General features: G+C 40.2%; 1 protein-coding gene across 4 annotated transcripts in view, besides 1 other annotated feature; it reads left to right on the forward strand.

The window, feature by feature from the left end:
- ARHGEF28 (Rho guanine nucleotide exchange factor 28) overlaps nt 1-16,211 on the forward strand; it is a 315,795-nt gene that overhangs the window by 156,774 nt on the left and 142,810 nt on the right. For all 4 annotated transcript variants that reach the window (NM_001080479.3, NM_001177693.2, NM_001388076.1 and 1 more), the window contains 2 exons: nt 11,433-11,485; nt 12,362-12,422. In NM_001080479.3, the coding sequence (NP_001073948.2) occupies nt 11,433-11,485; nt 12,362-12,422 (114 nt within the window). The remainder of the gene's footprint in view (nt 1-11,432; nt 11,486-12,361; nt 12,423-16,211) is intronic.
- Nucleotides 13,072-14,271: an enhancer, noted in NCBI's record as "BRD4-independent group 4 enhancer chr5:73091866-73093065 (GRCh37/hg19 assembly coordinates)". NCBI's record gives its function as "activates an origin of replication core promoter dependent on BRD2, P300/CBP, MED14 and CDK7 cofactors, and independent of BRD4, by STARR-seq in HCT116 cells {active_cell/tissue: HCT116}" and the evidence as "EXISTENCE:reporter gene assay evidence [ECO:0000049][PMID:35650434]".

A 16,211-nucleotide genomic window follows, 5' to 3' on the forward strand; every position in this document is an offset into this window, starting at 1 on the left:
AACTTCTGATTTTAAAAAATCCTCTTGCAAATTTTTCCTCTCTTGTATTCTACCTTCAAATTAATTTAGAACACTGAGGTCTAAAGGAGTATTTTAATTCCAAGTTGTTCTTAAGGGGCTTACAGTTTGAGGTTGGGGCAGAAAAACAAGCTCTCATGGCACAGTGTGATAATTGCTACAGGAGTTATTTGCAAGTAGCTCTGTGTATTAGCATGCTGTAGACTGTGACAGTGGAGCAGTCAGGGAAAGCTTCCTGGAAGAAGTGGCCCTGGAGCTGTGATCTAATGGAGGGAAGGGAATTCTACATGCAATACAAAGTCCTGAGCCAAATGACGTACTGGGGAAAATGCAGCTCATTTTGAAGCCCTGGAATATAGTGTGTGTGTGTGTGTGTGTGTGTGTGTGTGTGTGTGTGTATGTGTGTGTGTGCGCGCTTCTGTATGGTGGTGGCAGTGATGCCAAGAACATAGGCTTAAGAAGTAGGCAGATTGGCATGGCTGTACGTGAAGCAAGTTGTTAGAATTCTACCCTGACAGCTCTGTAAAGTTCACTTTGGTGGGAGTATGGGGAATGGATGGGAGAGGCCTAGTGGAAGATGGGGACCAGCCATGGGGCTGCTGAAAGCAACGCAGAAGAGAATCTGCCCTACAGCAGTGTGACAAGATGGGAGAGTTGAGGACACATGAGTGAGGTCCTGAAAGTGTAGGATCTGATTGGCTGTCAGTGGTAAGGGAGAAGGACGGTGTCTCCATTCCTGGGGTGTAGCACTGGGTGGGATGGGCCTTCCAGGAAGCAGAATTGTGACAAAATATACGTTCAGTTTTAGACAAGTTGAATTTGACAGGTGTTTGGGGCAGCCAAGTTAATATACGTGGCTGCCAGTTTGACTGAAATTAACCAATAAGCACAAGAATTTGGACAGAAATCCAAGCCCTCTGACTCCAAATAATTAATGGGTATACTTTAGAGCCCTTGAATCTAGACAATGCTTTTGTATTTGTCTACCCTTGAAAGAGTACTAGAAACTGTATGCATATTCCAGCAGAGGGCAATATTCAACTAAAGTGGAAACATTCAATTAGTTTTTGTCCATTCATGAGTCTGGAGGAGACTCAACTGAAAGAACAAAACATTTTGAGCATAAGAGCTTCCTCTTAAAAAAAAAAAACCAAACAAACCCTAAAGCAAACTTCCTCTTTAAAATCTATTAGAAGATTCTTAGTAGATTATGCTTTTCTGTCCCCTCTGGGACAATGTGTAGTAGGGGGGAAACTCTAAGCTTATATCTGTAGCTGCTATTAATTAAAAGACTATAATAATTCTAGCCTGGACATTAACTTTGCTGTCTCTGTGAGTGTGATAAATGGTTTTATTATTGCCTACGATCCAGTTATGTTTCTATAGTTTTATGATTCTAGTTGTACTCCCAGAATAATGGCACATTATTTCAAATGAATGGCCAAAAAGTCTTCTTATTTTAATATGCTCCTATTAATAAGCTAATTATTAGTATTAATAAAAAACCTGGCTCCATATTTTCCCCTTGCCTTCTTATCCTTGTTTGATCTCTCTGTCCTAGGATTTCCTAAAGAGCATTGTACAGAACACTGATCTTGGAAGCTATTTTGAAAAATAAGGATTCTTTGGCCAAATAAGTAGAAAATGCTGTACAGTAGTTCCCTCTTATCTTTGGGGGATAAGTTCCAAGATCTCTAGTGGATACCTGCAACCCTGGATAACACTGAACCTTATATATACTATGTTTTTTTCTATACATACACACCTATGATAAAGTTTAATTTATAAATTAGGCATAGTAAAGGTTAACAATGATAATTAATAATAAAGTAGAACAATTATAACAATATGCAAGTATCACTACTCTTGTGCTTTGGGGTCATTAGTAAGTAAAATAAGGTTACTTGGACATAAGCACTGCCATACTGAAACCGTTGATCTGATAACTAAGAGCTACTGAGAGACTAATGGGCAGGTAGCATAGGCAGCATAAGGACACTGGACAATGAAATAATTCACTTTCCTGGTGGGAAGGAGTGAGATATCATGAGATTTCATCATACTACTCAAGAATGGTCTGCAATTTAAAAAAATGTAGGAATTATTTCTGGAATTTTCTATTTAGTATTTTTGGACCGAAGTCAACGGCAGGTAATCAAAACCATAGAACATGAAATCCCTGATGGCAGGGGCTACTGTATATGAAACTCCCACTTTTGAGATTTGGAATGCATTTAATGTTTTGTGGGCTCTAGTAAGTCAAGAAACCTATATAATCTTGTTTAACTTAGCAGTTCTCTAAATTAATGGATCACACGAGAGTCCTTTTTTCGCAGTTCTCAACCTCTCATAGAAACCGTCTGTGAAAGGTACTTTGAAAATGTTGTTCTTCCTCAACTCTGTGGCACCTCCCTCTCTGGATCTTATGTCCTCCATTTTCACTATCACCTGGGTTCCCGCCATCTGTTAGTCCAGTAATGCGCACACCAGAGAAGTGCAAGAAAGAATTTTTCAAACTGTTCACAGTGATCTTGAATATTCCAGATCATTCATGCCTCCCTCGACATCCCACTTCAATTCTTGATATCACATGGGAGGCTATTGCCTGCCTGGCATCTACTGGGCTATAACGCAACCTGAGAACAACTACAGTACCATTTGCCACTGTATGAATCCGCTTAAAAAATTATTTTGTAGTTCAAAAACGCTCTGCATTTGCTAACTGTCTTAACTTGGTGTCACTCATTTGTTACTTTGTTGGCTTCTCCCCATAAATTATCTTCCACATTTTCATTGACAAGGAAATAGGGATTGGAACATGTGTTACAATCACCAAGAAGAGAGGGCAAAATCATTTCCTTCAGGGTGGAGGCAGCCGCTCTCACCGGCTCAAAGTGGCTTCCCCTTTGTGATTCTGTGTGGGAGGCAGAAGAGGCTGTTGGTCCAAATGCAAGATTCAGGCTGGACAGGTGGACACGTGTCCTTAGGCCCATTTCCATATCCATCCATTCAGTAAATATGTATTGACTGCCCATCACTTTATACCAGCCACTGTTCTTGGCAGTAACCAAAAAAAAAAAAAAAAAAAAGGCAAAGAGAAAAAACCTTGCCCTCAAGTAGTTTGCTTGCATTTAATTTCACTCAAGCATTTGTTAGCACCTGCTACGTGCCAGGCATTGTTCTAGGCACTGGTCACAACCTGAGTTAAGTCTATACACTCATGGAGCACTCATACCTATGGTCATCGGGAGGGGCATTTCTGGGAGTCAGGAGTCAATCCTACGCACTTTATGCATGAGAAAGTGGCAGCACAGAAAAGTTATGTAACTTACCTGAGGTGACACTGGCCCAAGCCGTCAGAACTCAGGTGATCAGTCCACTCCCTTACCGACCACACTATAGACTCCCACTACCCCTATAGAGCAGAGGACTGATCTATTTAGCGTCTGGACTGCTCGTCTAGAGTTCTCTCAGCATTTGGGGGATAGAAAAAGCGCAAACATTGGAAACATTGCCTTGAAATGAGCTCTATTCCAAATGGTTCATCTCTCTCAAGTCCTTATGACCCGCAGGCACAGACATGTCTCGATGACACATGCCAGTAATAAGCTGACTTTGCTAAAATCCTCAGCTCTGCCGTGAACTGGCTTTTGAGCATAATGCAAGTGATTAGGCTGTTTGCTTTTGTGGAAAATGATGGGGTGGGGTGGAGGTGGCGGTGTCATTTAATACTTACTTCAGTGGGAAAATACAGATAAAGCACCTTGCCCAGTATTGAACATAGTGGATGTTTACTGAATGATGTCTAATCATGAGTGCAAGTTATATAACACACGCCTATGGTGGATTCAATGGTAAAGATACGTGTTTTGAGATACCAGGACCCAGCCATTCGTGTCGTGGTGACTAGAAGTGAGCAGATTTTTGCTTGAACATTCTGTAGACAAGGGTGCAGCACTTCCCTCTGTGATTTGGTTTGTGAAATGTAGAGAGAGTTGTGTGGTGGATTTTCCTTATTTGAATATCTCCTGTGAGATATTACTGGGAAAACAATAGGGCTCTTATCCACACAAAGTGTTGTTTCCAAGATTTTTCATTTGAGACACTCTAGCTCAAGGGCTTTTTAGGAGAACTGTTGCAGATGGTTTAGATATCAAGATATAGGTCCTTTAAGCCAGGACAGCTGGGACCTGGGTGTTGGGGACTTAAGACAGCAGTACTAGGCAGGCCGTTCTGCAGAGCTGATCATTCACTTGCATACACAGCTCTACCTTGACTCTCATGTGAAATATCTGGTCAAGCACTTGAAAATATTGTTTTCCTAGAAGTAGGGTATTTTTGGCATTTTCAACAAAAATCATACGCAGCCCTAGGAAATGATTTGTAACTGTTGCTTTCATTTAGTATTATTATCATTATTATTAAGTTCTGGGATACATGTGCAGAACGTGCAGGTTTGTTACATAGGTATACACGTGCCATGGTGGTTTGCTGCACCCCTCAACCCGTCATCTACATTAGGTATTTCTTCTAATGCTATCCATCCCCTACCCCCTACCCTCTGACAGACCCTGGTGTGTAACGTTCCCCTCCCTGTGTCCACTTTATTCAACTCCCACTTACGAGTGAGAACTTGTGGTGTTTGGTTTTCTGTTCCTGTGTTAGTTTGCTGAGAATGATGGTTTCCAGCTTCATCCATGTCCCTGCAAAGGACATGAACTCATACTCTTTTTTATGGCTGCATTTTACAGAGCAATTCAGCCTTTTCTGTATTTCCTTTAGTGACTGACTTTGCCAGTCCTCTTTCTTCTCCTTGTCACAGGAAAGAACAGTCTCCATCATTAAAGGGACCATGATATGGATAGGATATCATGATGATATGATACTCATTTTGTATATTATTATAAAAAATCAGTATTTTCTCACACAGAAATAAAAATTCTCCTCACCACTTAGTTTATCAAAGGATTAAAGAATCATAGTTTGACTTGGAAAGAACTTTAGAGATCATCTGGTTAAACCCACTGTATGTTTGAGCTCAAAACTCAGAGGTTCCCCAGAGCTCACCTAGATGCAACACATTTGGCTCATATCTGAGATACTTTATTCTAGCTGAGTCAGATAAGCAGCCTAGAGAGAAAAAAAAGTATTAAACTCAACTAAGTATTCTAATAGAATTGCAGTGATCTTTACTTGAAAATATAGCTAAAGGTTAGTTTCTTTCTTGAGTTAAAGTAGAATCTAAGTTTGGTAAAAATGGAATTTTGTTTATGTCTTTGAAAGATGACTTGCTTAATTTTATTCAAGCCATTGATTAACTTAGGAAAATTATGCCCTGGCTTCAATTTAAAAATGCAGTTAACCCTTGAAAAACTCAGATTAGGGGCACCAATCCCCTGCACAGTCAAAAATTCATGTGTAACTTTGACACTCCTCAAGCTTAACTACTCATAGCCCACTGATGACCAGAAGCCTTGTCAATAACATAAACCATTGATTAATATATATTTTGTATGTTACATGTATTATATACTATATTCGTATAATAAGGTAAGCTAGAGAAAAAAATGTTCTTAATAAAATCATAAGGAAGATAAAATACATTTACCATTTATTAAGTGGAACTGGACCACCACAAAGGTCTTCATCCTTGTTGTCTTCACATTGAGTAGGCTGAGGAGCAGGAGGATTAGGAAAGGGTGGTTTGTCTGCGTGTTTTATCAAATTGTCAAAAAATCTCCAAAAAAATTACCAATATATTTATTGGAAATAATCCATATAAAAGTGGACTCATGCAGTTCAAACCCGTCTTGTTTAAGGATCAACTGTATAATGATTTAGAGCTTCTGTGTAATTGATAATTGCAACCAAATTTTGGGGCTGAGGATACTTTCTCTCCATAATTGAATTCTTTGCTTTAGAGATTTCTATGGTGGGCAGGGGTGGGGGTTCAGGAGATGTAAAAATCTGTATCATAAAAATTTATCAAACATGGAGTTATATGATTCAACAATTATACTCCTAGGCATATACTTAAGAGTAATGAAAACATGTATCTACACAAAAACTTTTACTTGAAAGAATGTTCATTGCAGCATTATTAATAATAGACAAAAAGTGGAAACAACTCAGATATCCATCAGCTGAGGAATAGATAAACAAAACAAAGTAGATACCTCCTATCTATCTATCTACCTATCTATCTAATGGAATACTATTTGGCAGTAAAGAGGAATGAAGTACTAATACATGCTACGGCATGGGTGAATCTTGAAAACATTATGCTACATGAATCCAGTTTCAAAAGACTACATATTGTGCAATTCAATTTATATGAAATATCCAGAATAGGCAATTCTGTTGAGACTGAAAATAGATTAGTGGTTGCCTTGGGCTGGGGTGTGGAAGGAGGATGGTGAGGTGGTTGGGGAGAAATGTGGAGCGATTGCTAATGCGTGTGGGGTTTTCTCATTGGAGTGATGAAAATATCCTAAAATTGATTATGGTGATGGTTGCAGAACTCAATATACTAAAACCCATTGAAGTGTATACTCTAAATGGGTGAATTGTATAGTATATGAATTATACCTTAATAAAGCTGTCATAAAAACATATATGGGGGAGTATATACCAACATTTAATGGTAGTTATATTGATTTTTTTGTTTAGTTTTTTTTCCAAGTTTTTATTTATTTTATTTATTTTTTTGATACAAAAGACTTTATTGCAGCATGGGCTTCATGTTCACATTGGTTCTCCTTGCCCAGCAAGTCCCCCAGGAGCCTTGTGAGCAGCTCAGATAGATGCTGCACACACACTCAGTTTGTGTCACAGCTGAGGAACCCCAAACTAAGAAATCCCAAATCTTATAAGGAGACTGCTAGCAAGCCTGCCCAACCCTTGCACTGGAAGAGGCTGTTATCTTTACTACCCTGGTCTGAAAACAAATCTGCCTTCATCCCCAGGGGAAACACTATTTCTCGGTTTCAAGACTGTTGGCCACAAAACCATCCTTCAAAAGATAATCCGGTAGAAAAGTTTTCACAGTAAGAGTAGGCACACCATGGAGAATGGCCTGCAGCAGTCTGGTGTTGCAAGAGGGCTACTGTGGCTCCAAAATCATTTCTTCATTGAACTCTATTCAGACAAAAAGAGCAATGGAAAAAGATCCTTTTGCCCTGCAACTTTTTTTTTTTCTATTAGTGATAGAAGCCTTTTTTGGAGAGGTGCCAGGAAAGTTTCTATTAAGACTCTGGCCAGAATTGGATCATATGTTAACCTCCAGACAAAAAAAACTGTGTAAGAGGAGGGACTTCTCCACTGTCTTAAATAATTACTTTTGTCTTTAAAAAAAGAAACACAAGTAATTTAAATGAAAAAAAACCTGTATTTTAAAGAAGATGTCTTAAATTCTTTCTGAAACAATATAGAATAGAAATATAAAAATGATATGCCAAGGAGCACATTTTGGAGTTGCTTGAGGCCAAGGATTTCTTCCATCTTGGTTTCTTCTCCCCAGCTGCTGCTCAGTAGGGACCAGTGGAGCTTGTTGAATTGAGTGGAATGTTGGGCTCTCACTCACTGATAAGTCTCATTTTGATATTTCTGTAAATAAGTGCCTCATTGTTGCTCCCAGTCCATATTTATACCGAGCAGGCAAAATGAAAGTTCTTATTAGTAGTCCCACTTTTAGGAAAAAAAAAAAAAAAGGAATAACTGGGATATTGAAACAAACTTTCAAAGTGTGACAACAGTCTCTGAATTAAGAGTGGCAAGTAGTCTCTCAAGTGCCTTTGCCATTTTAATTCTCTGGCCATTGTGAATTGAATTTGTACACTAGGATAAAACATTGTAGCAACACATGCAGGTGCAGTAGTTAGTAGTGAAACAGCAATACTTACTAAGTGGAGAGGAAAAGGGTTGGCTTTTGGACTTACAGAGCTGGAAGGGTGGGAGGAAGTAAGGAGAAAAGGATTCATCTGTCTATGAATCTGGCAGTTCAGAAGTTGTGATAAAATAGCGCCAGTATTGGAAGTGTTTCAATTAGTTAATTCTAAAAAGTAAACAACTTTTCCTTCTCTGTCCTGATCCACAGCTTGTCTAACCATCCACCACATCTTGTCAGCTATGTATATTTTGGGCCACCAGATGTAGGTGGAGATGAGAAGCATTTATTCAGCACCTGTTAAGTGCAAAGCACCCAGCTTGGTGCTGGGGATACAAGGGTTGAGCGGAAATCGATCTGGTCCCAGCTCTCCCAGAATTTACAGCCTATTGAGAAAAAAAGATTCATTCAAAGACTATGAACTACCCACCATGTATGCCAGAGAGGCACAGAGGCTGCTATGAACACTACCATCAGGGTGTTTTTCTGACATTTGTGGGGGCAGGCAGAGCAAACTGAGAGCATGATCCTGGTTTTCCACCTGTGCTTTTGACACTACCCTGTAGATGTAAGCCAGTGGTGGACTTGGTTGTTAACAAGACAACACTGGTGGTCTGGCTGCGTCTGACCACGATTCTTCTGCCACATCCAAATGGTGATTAAAATCAGAATACTGAGCATCCTGTGTTTTTGGTTGTAAGCTTTTTTATTTGCTTAAGTCTAGACTCTGTGGTCTCATTTGCAAAATAAGACAGTAAGACATGTGCATAGAGGTGAGTTTTTTAGGCGAATCTGTTTCTTAATGAGACACTGGCATGAATCTTACAGCGACTTAACCCTGTTCACTGGTGCAGTGTCACTAGTAAACATAAGTCTTAGAGATTATCTCTTGTTCCATTATAGTTTGGCAATAACAAAAACCATGTTTATCAAGTTTGGCAAGTCTGATTTAGAGGAGTAATCCTTACTTCTGGGTGGGCTTGAGGGCAAGATTAATAGGCCTTTAAAACAGAATAGGTAGAGTTACTGATACCATTATCTGCTAAAGGTTGCTATAGCAATGAGTGGTTTGATTGCACTGTGTAATTGGTGGTACAGTGGGTTAGTGTAAAAGGATCCTACTAATTTAACAGAAACTCTCCTAGAGCAATTTAATTAATCCATTAGAATGAATGCCAAATTCTTTGAAAGCTCTAAGATATGGTTCTGTTTAGTTCTAGGTTAATTAAAGATACATTATTATCTGGAATCAGCACAGTATCACTAATATTTTTAAATGATTTTTGGATAAAGACTTTCTACATTTAAGTTATTTTTTAAATGATGAGGTACAATTTTTAATGAAGACATATATTTTAATATAGTTTGTGGTACTTGTTCTGAAGTGAAAAAAATTGCACTGGACTACACGGAAAAACGTAGGCATGGCAAGCTATAAAAACTAGTTCACTGGCCTTTTGAGAAGGGAAAGGAAGCTGGAACCTAAATGCACTACCAGGTGTGAACACATCCTCTGTAACTGCAAACTTCACTAACAGATGAGATTGCCTTTTCCATTAGCAATCTGGATAAAATGTGTACTGTTCTTCCGAATAAATGCTGTATGTACAGAATTCTTTAGGAATGCAATATAATGATCATTTAAGAGTTTATGGCTGAGATGACTTTAAAGGAATGAATGTCCTAAAACAGGCAAAGTAAAAGGGTGTGACTCTTGATGTCTGTGCAGATGTGTCTGTTGAAACTCTGGTCCAGGTTATCCTTCCCTTCTTTTTTTTTTTTTTTTTTTTAACGCCTTTGTGGTTTCTTTCCTACTTATCCCAATTTTTAGTGTTTGAGTATATGAGTTTCAAAACCAAACCAAATCCCTACTGTACACTTATAATGTGCCAAATACCATGGTAGGTGCTTCACATCAATTTTCTGCATCTATGTAGTGGGACAAAAATGCTAATTTTAACTATGTGTTTTGGACTTTGGCACTTGAAAGCAGGTCCTTGAAGGGTGAAATTAGCCCATTTTGACATTCCTACCTCTGGCAATGTTACTCTGCTGCCACCTGGAGGCCTTCTGTGGGATGTGCATTTAAAGGCCGGCAGGGATGCTGTGTACACAAGCTGCCTGGGCTGGGTGTCCACTATGATCTTGTCCTCATTCCCTGCTGAGATCAGTTGACATGACCACACAAAATTGGGGTTATTACTTTGTTCGCTGGTTATTTCCTTGTTGGTTTAATCATAGAAGCTAATATGCATTATAAATTCAAGAGCAATATACTATTGTGGCATGCAAATGTAGTATTACTTGCTTTCTGCAAAGCAAATTCAAAGTTATTGTTGTCCAGATTTTTAGAAACACAAGACAAGGATTGTTGGTTTCTCTGCTCCATCCTGATCTTATTACTTATAGCTCCATCCTTGTAATTTGTCATCTTTATTATGATTTGTCATGTAGAGCCATATAAATGAATACCTTATACATTTTCTAAGCATAAACATGGATGATAACTCCTAGCATTGTTGCCCAGAAGTGAGAAGAGCTTGAATAAATCCACCTGCAGATTTGGGGCATTAGATAAATTAATAGGAGTGACAAAACGGAATAGGGAAGGTCTAGGTAATGAACCTGCTGGAAAACTTCAGGCGTTTCCCCAGGATTAGCATAAAGCAGGGCTGTGGGGGAAGGGATGTGGAGATTCCAGAAAAGGAGTGAGACCCCACAATGTTGTATGTTAATGCAAATCTGGGGTAGAGACTTTCAGTCATATGTCCTTGCTAGGGATATCGAGTGCTTTAATTTTCCCCAGGCCCAAACCTGTTCTTGGTGGTTATTTCGACAATAGCGGCTCTTGTTTAAGGGCAACTGAGTATTTGGGAACAGAACCAATCAATTAAACCACAGATAAAAATGCTGCCTTGGGTGAACCTTTTTTTTTTTTTTTTCTTCATCCCAGTACATCCTGACCACTACTGTTTCCAGGAAACCCTTTATTCAGAAAGAGGACACCCGGTGTGCCCGGGGCTGAGGTTGGAGCTGAGGGCTATGCTGGTGTTCTTGACCTTCAGTGATGTGTAAGGAAAAGCCAGACCTCTTATATAATGAATTACGCTCTTTTAAAACATATTGAAATCTGTGGTATTTGAGGAAATAGACATGTGGGATTTCCTCAGGTGGGTACGAGTCACGTCCTTACAATCTGCTATTTTGAAGAACTTGCGGTAGTGAGCAGCCTTCCTTTGGAATCAAGGGCATTTATTTATTTAATGATAATTTTTTCCCCTTCAGGATTTCCTGTGAGAGCTCCTGGGCTTGTTTCCATCTTAGTCCACACAGATAATACCAGAGTATGGACAGTCGGGTTATTAGACACTCTGCTCTGTGGAGAGCTGATTTTTAAGAGGCCTAATCTAAAAACCTATCTCTGTGCAGAAGGCTCCTGGGCAACTCATTTACACTTGTCAGCTAGTAGTTGTTGTTCTTCTTAACAAAAGCTCCCATCAGCAGATCCTGATAATTATTTCTTTTGCAGAGATTAAGAATTCAGTGTCCAGCAGATCAGCAGCTGAAAAGGAAGATATAAAGGTAATGAATGACTCCCTGCTTCTTTCTTTGCACGTCTTTCCATAAAGTAGAAATGAAGATTTAGTGGTAATAAAAATGTTTAAAAAACACTAAAAAAAGGATGTGCCCCAAGTCACTTTCAGAATAATGTGAAATTCTGTTTTCTTTTTCTTTCTTTTTTTTTTTTTTTTGAGATGGAGCCTCGCTCTGTCACCCAGGCTGGAGTACAGTGGCACGATCTTGGCTCACTGCAACTTCTGCCTCCTGGGTTCAAATGATTCTCCTGCCTCACCCTCCTGAGTAGCTGGGACTATAGGCGCCCACCACCACGTCTGGCTAATTTTTGTATTTCTAGTAGAGATGGGGTTTTGCCATGTTGGCCAAGGTGGTCTCGAACTCGTGACCTCAGGTGATCTGCCCGCCTCGGTCTCCCCAAGTGCTGGGATTACAGGCATGAGCCACCGTGCCCAGCCCCATTTTCTTTATCAAATTCTTAATCCCTATTCTTTATAACCAAACCTAGCTATCTTTCTGAGTTGTAGTTGTATATGCAAGATGATTGAATACATTCTGCAAAACAAATTTCTACTTGAAGTTTGATGTTTATAGATATTTGACAACAATGTGATTACAAGAGTAAATGTGGGAGATGTCCTCTGAGAATAAAATAACCTGTGTACAGCTTTCAGGTGTGTTTCAGCTTGGGATAGATTCATTACTCACTTTTAGCTGTTAAATAATATTAAGTATAAGACTAGTTTTCTGTTTACATGTGATGATACTTGTAACATGTTTTCATTGATGCTTTCCAAGGTTGTTTTTCTAGTTCACAAAAATAAACATTAGTGTAGCATATATGTAATTTTTTAAAAATCCACCTGACTTTATCTCTTCCAGCGTGTCAAAAGCCTGGTGGTTCAACACAATGAACATGAAGACCAGCACAGCCTAGATTTGGGTATGAAATAACGCTTTTACCTATACTCGTAGGGGCATCCCAGATCCAGGTTTAGAGTGGACAAGAAGCAAGTAAATTTTAACATAAAATATTCCTTCCTGGTAACCTTATCTATTTCCTGAAACGCATCCAGATAAATTTTATTTGTAGGATCATTTGTAATACTATGACTCTAGAGGTTGAGACTCCATTTACAATCTAAAAAACAAGGCAATCAAAGCTTTTCCTGAACAGTTTTACTCTGAGCCAGAAGCTGGCTCTGGACTTGTCATATGTTCCCTTGTTATTTCTGTGAAGTAGGCACTACCAGTCTCAGGTTCAGGTGAAGCAGTTGAAGCACTGGTGGAGAGTAGATGGTGGAACCGAGACTCATAACTTCATTCCACCTGGCCCTAGAATCTCCAAGCTTACCAAAATCCCATTTTGATGCCCAGTGGGGTCCCCTTGGAGCTGAGCCTATGTGATCTACACTGCTGAGCTCAGGAAAAGACCAGATGTTTGTTCTGGGATTTGAGTCTGATGTGAGTGTCCTTTCAGAGGAACCAGGTGTTCCTCCACCCTTGGCAAGGTAGAGGTATTTCCTCCCTCTGACCTGGGAATTCTCATCTGATTACAATATTCTGTTTCACAACTCCCTGAGGACCCCTTCCTAAATCTCCTCCCAGGTACTCTCTATTTCTTCAAGGCTAATTTGGACCCCAGCCCTATCTCTTGAGTTACTTAGAGGTGAATAGAGCATAATGAAGCTAATGGGGTGTTTGAAGATACAGGCTGAGCTATCAGCAGAGGCTGAGTTTGGGCACCTGGATGTCTGTGAAGACCTCTGGGGCTGACAAGTGAGAGGCAGATGAGCACGAACCACTCCAGTTGGTTTCCTCTGGTTCTGTGAAGCTGAGGCATCTCACACACCTGGAAGGCACACATGGGCAGGACAGTCTTAGAAGTTGCAAGGGGTGAGGTGTTGCTGATGGTAGTGACTGAGGGCTCAAGCTGATGTGAAATCAGGAAAAGCTAAATCAATGCTCAGAGTGAGATTAATGGAGAAGGTGGGTAACCCACGGGGTCACCGTGAGCCTACACGTGCATGGGGCTCCCTGGAGGCTGAGGGAGTGTGGTTGGTATGCTGTGCCAACACACGACAGAGCAGTTACAACCATTCGGAAATCATGCTGTGTAGAGCAGAGCAAGGAGGAAGCACCCTTGGTGTTGGTTGATGGTGTTGCTAGTAGCTTGGCCACATGCCAGAGGTGGTTTCCAGGATCTTGCTGCATGTGGCCCTACTGAAATTGGAACAGAAATTTAGACCCACACTAAGCAATATACACGTCCTTAATATTTTTGCTATTTAAGGTAAGAGTAATGATTTACTTACAGAAGAGGGGAAGAGGAAGGCAAAAAGAGAGCAAACATCTCTGTATAGATGGCTGTTGTGGGCCACTGATGTCAGGGCCATTGCTGTTACTCACGCACACAGGATGTCTCAGCTACAAATTGCATCATGCTCCTGGGAATGTTAGCTTTGAAGAATGTTTGCTAAGATGAATTGCTGGGGGAGGGAGGTAGGCTACTAAAAGTATTAAACACTGAGACGATCTTAATTTCAGGTTTTAAAAACTCACTCTAGTTTCAAACTTGTAAACTTGTGAGCAAGAAGCATGTGCTACGGAAATTGTAGTAGTCTGACCTCGTCTGAGTGTTTTGTCAGTAACATCATTAAGTCTGTGAAGGATTTGAGAAAGATAAATGAGCACAACTTTAGTCCAGTGATTTATGAAAAGGACCATGATGAGTGTTTGTTGTGCTAGCATTTTCTTTTTGGTTCATTTAAACTTTTTGAATTAATAAAGTCCCCTGAGTTTTTGCAAAGGAAATTATAACAGATTTTCAAAGAACCTGAGAGAGAAGGGGACAGCAAGCTGTGAGCAATAGTCAGATGGTCAGACACAGTCTGGAATAGGAAATGGGCTCTCCCTGGAGGCCACTTCAACACTCTTTTGTTATTTGTTATCTGTTATTTTTTATTTTTTGAGATGGAGTTTTGCTCTGTTAGCCAGGCTGGCATGCAGTGGCGCCATCTTGGCTCACTGCAACTTCTGCCTCCTGGGTTCAAGCAATTCCCCTGCCTCAGCCTGCCGAGTAGCTGGGATTACAGGCACCCATCACCATGCCCAGGTAATTTTTGTATTTTTAGTAGAGTCGGGGTTTCGCCTTCAAACTCCTGACCTCAAGTGATCTGCCAGCCTCGGCCTCCTAAAGTGCTGGGATTACAGTCATGAGGCACCACATCTGGCCTCTTTTGTTATTTTATAAGTGCTTTATTCTGCCCAGTCTCTGAGGAAATGCTGATAAATGGTGTGGGATAAACACATGATAAATGCTGATAAATAGATATGTAAGTCTTTGCTGACTTGTATTATTCAGAATTGTGTGGTGTGGATGTGGCCTCATCAGTGACACAAGTGCTGTTCCAGTGGCACCCTCTGTGCTGATGGACACATTTTATAGCTGTTCTATCCAGTGTAGTAGCCTGTGGCCACCTACGTCTATTGAGCATGTGACATGTGACTGAGGAATCGGATTTTTAATTATCTAATTTTATTGTATTGGACAGGGCAGAACAGAGTAAGTTCCCTTTGTGGTGGTGTTTTCTTTCTCCTTCTAGAAGTGTTTTATGCATTTATTGTTTTCTATTTTTTTTAAGTTGTTGTGGTACATTGGAGATGTATATATTTTTAGGGTACGTGAGATGTTTTGGTACAGGCATGCAATATGAAATAAGCACATCATGGGGAATGGAGTATCCATCCCTTCAAGTATGTATCTTTTGAGTTTACAAACAATCCAGTTACACTCTTTAAGTTATTTTAAAATGTACAGATTAGGTTGAGTATAGTCACTCTATTGTGCTATCAAATAGTAGGTCTTATTCATTCTTTCCATTTTTTTTTGTACCCATCCTTTGTAATGTTTTATTGACCTTTCAGGGCATCAAGAATTAACACTTACCATTAGTTTATAAGCTGAAAATGATGGTTGGAGAAATGTCTTGGGTGAGTAACAACTGGCAAGCTCATCCAAGCCGGTGCCCCAGAACCAGCTCCGCAAGGAGCTGACATCTATGTCTAATGCAGGACTTATGGCCCCATTCTCTGCAGATGCTGTAAGGGGTCGGCATTTTGTCGAAGGGGAGAATCATCAGTTGAAGGGCTAAGATCTGCTTCTGTTGCTATCATAGTGCAGAGTGGGACTCCTTCATATTCTAGGCAGGTAGGATGGGGAAAAATGGCAAAGCATTTGAAGGAAACAGAAGAAAAGAAGGTAGATGAAATGAAATGGGTCAATACCAAAAATAAGAAAAAAAGGGTCTACTTGGCTCAAGTAAATGGCACTAAACGTGATTAAGAAATAGGATCTGGCCAGGCGTGGTGGCTCATGCATGGAATCCCAGCACTTTGGGAGGCCAAGGTGGGTGGAACACTTGAGGTCAGGAGTTTGAGACCAGGCTGGCCAACATGGTGAAACCCTGTTTCTACTAAAAATACCAAATTAGCCAGGCGTGGTGGCGCATGCCTGCAGTCCTGCTACTTGGGGGGCTGAGGCAGGACAATGGCTTGAACCTGGGAGGCAGAGGTTGCAGTGAGCCAAGATCGCACCGTTCATTGCACTCCAGCCTGAGCAACAGAGCGAGACTCCATCTCAAAAACAAATAGGAACTGCTTAAAGTTTTGATCCTATTTCTTAATCATATTTAATGCCATTTACTTGAGCCAAATGGACCCTTTGGGCAGC

Source organism: Homo sapiens, chromosome 5 (assembly GCF_000001405.40).
Source record: "Homo sapiens chromosome 5, GRCh38.p14 Primary Assembly".
NCBI lineage: Eukaryota > Metazoa > Chordata > Mammalia > Primates > Hominidae > Homo > Homo sapiens.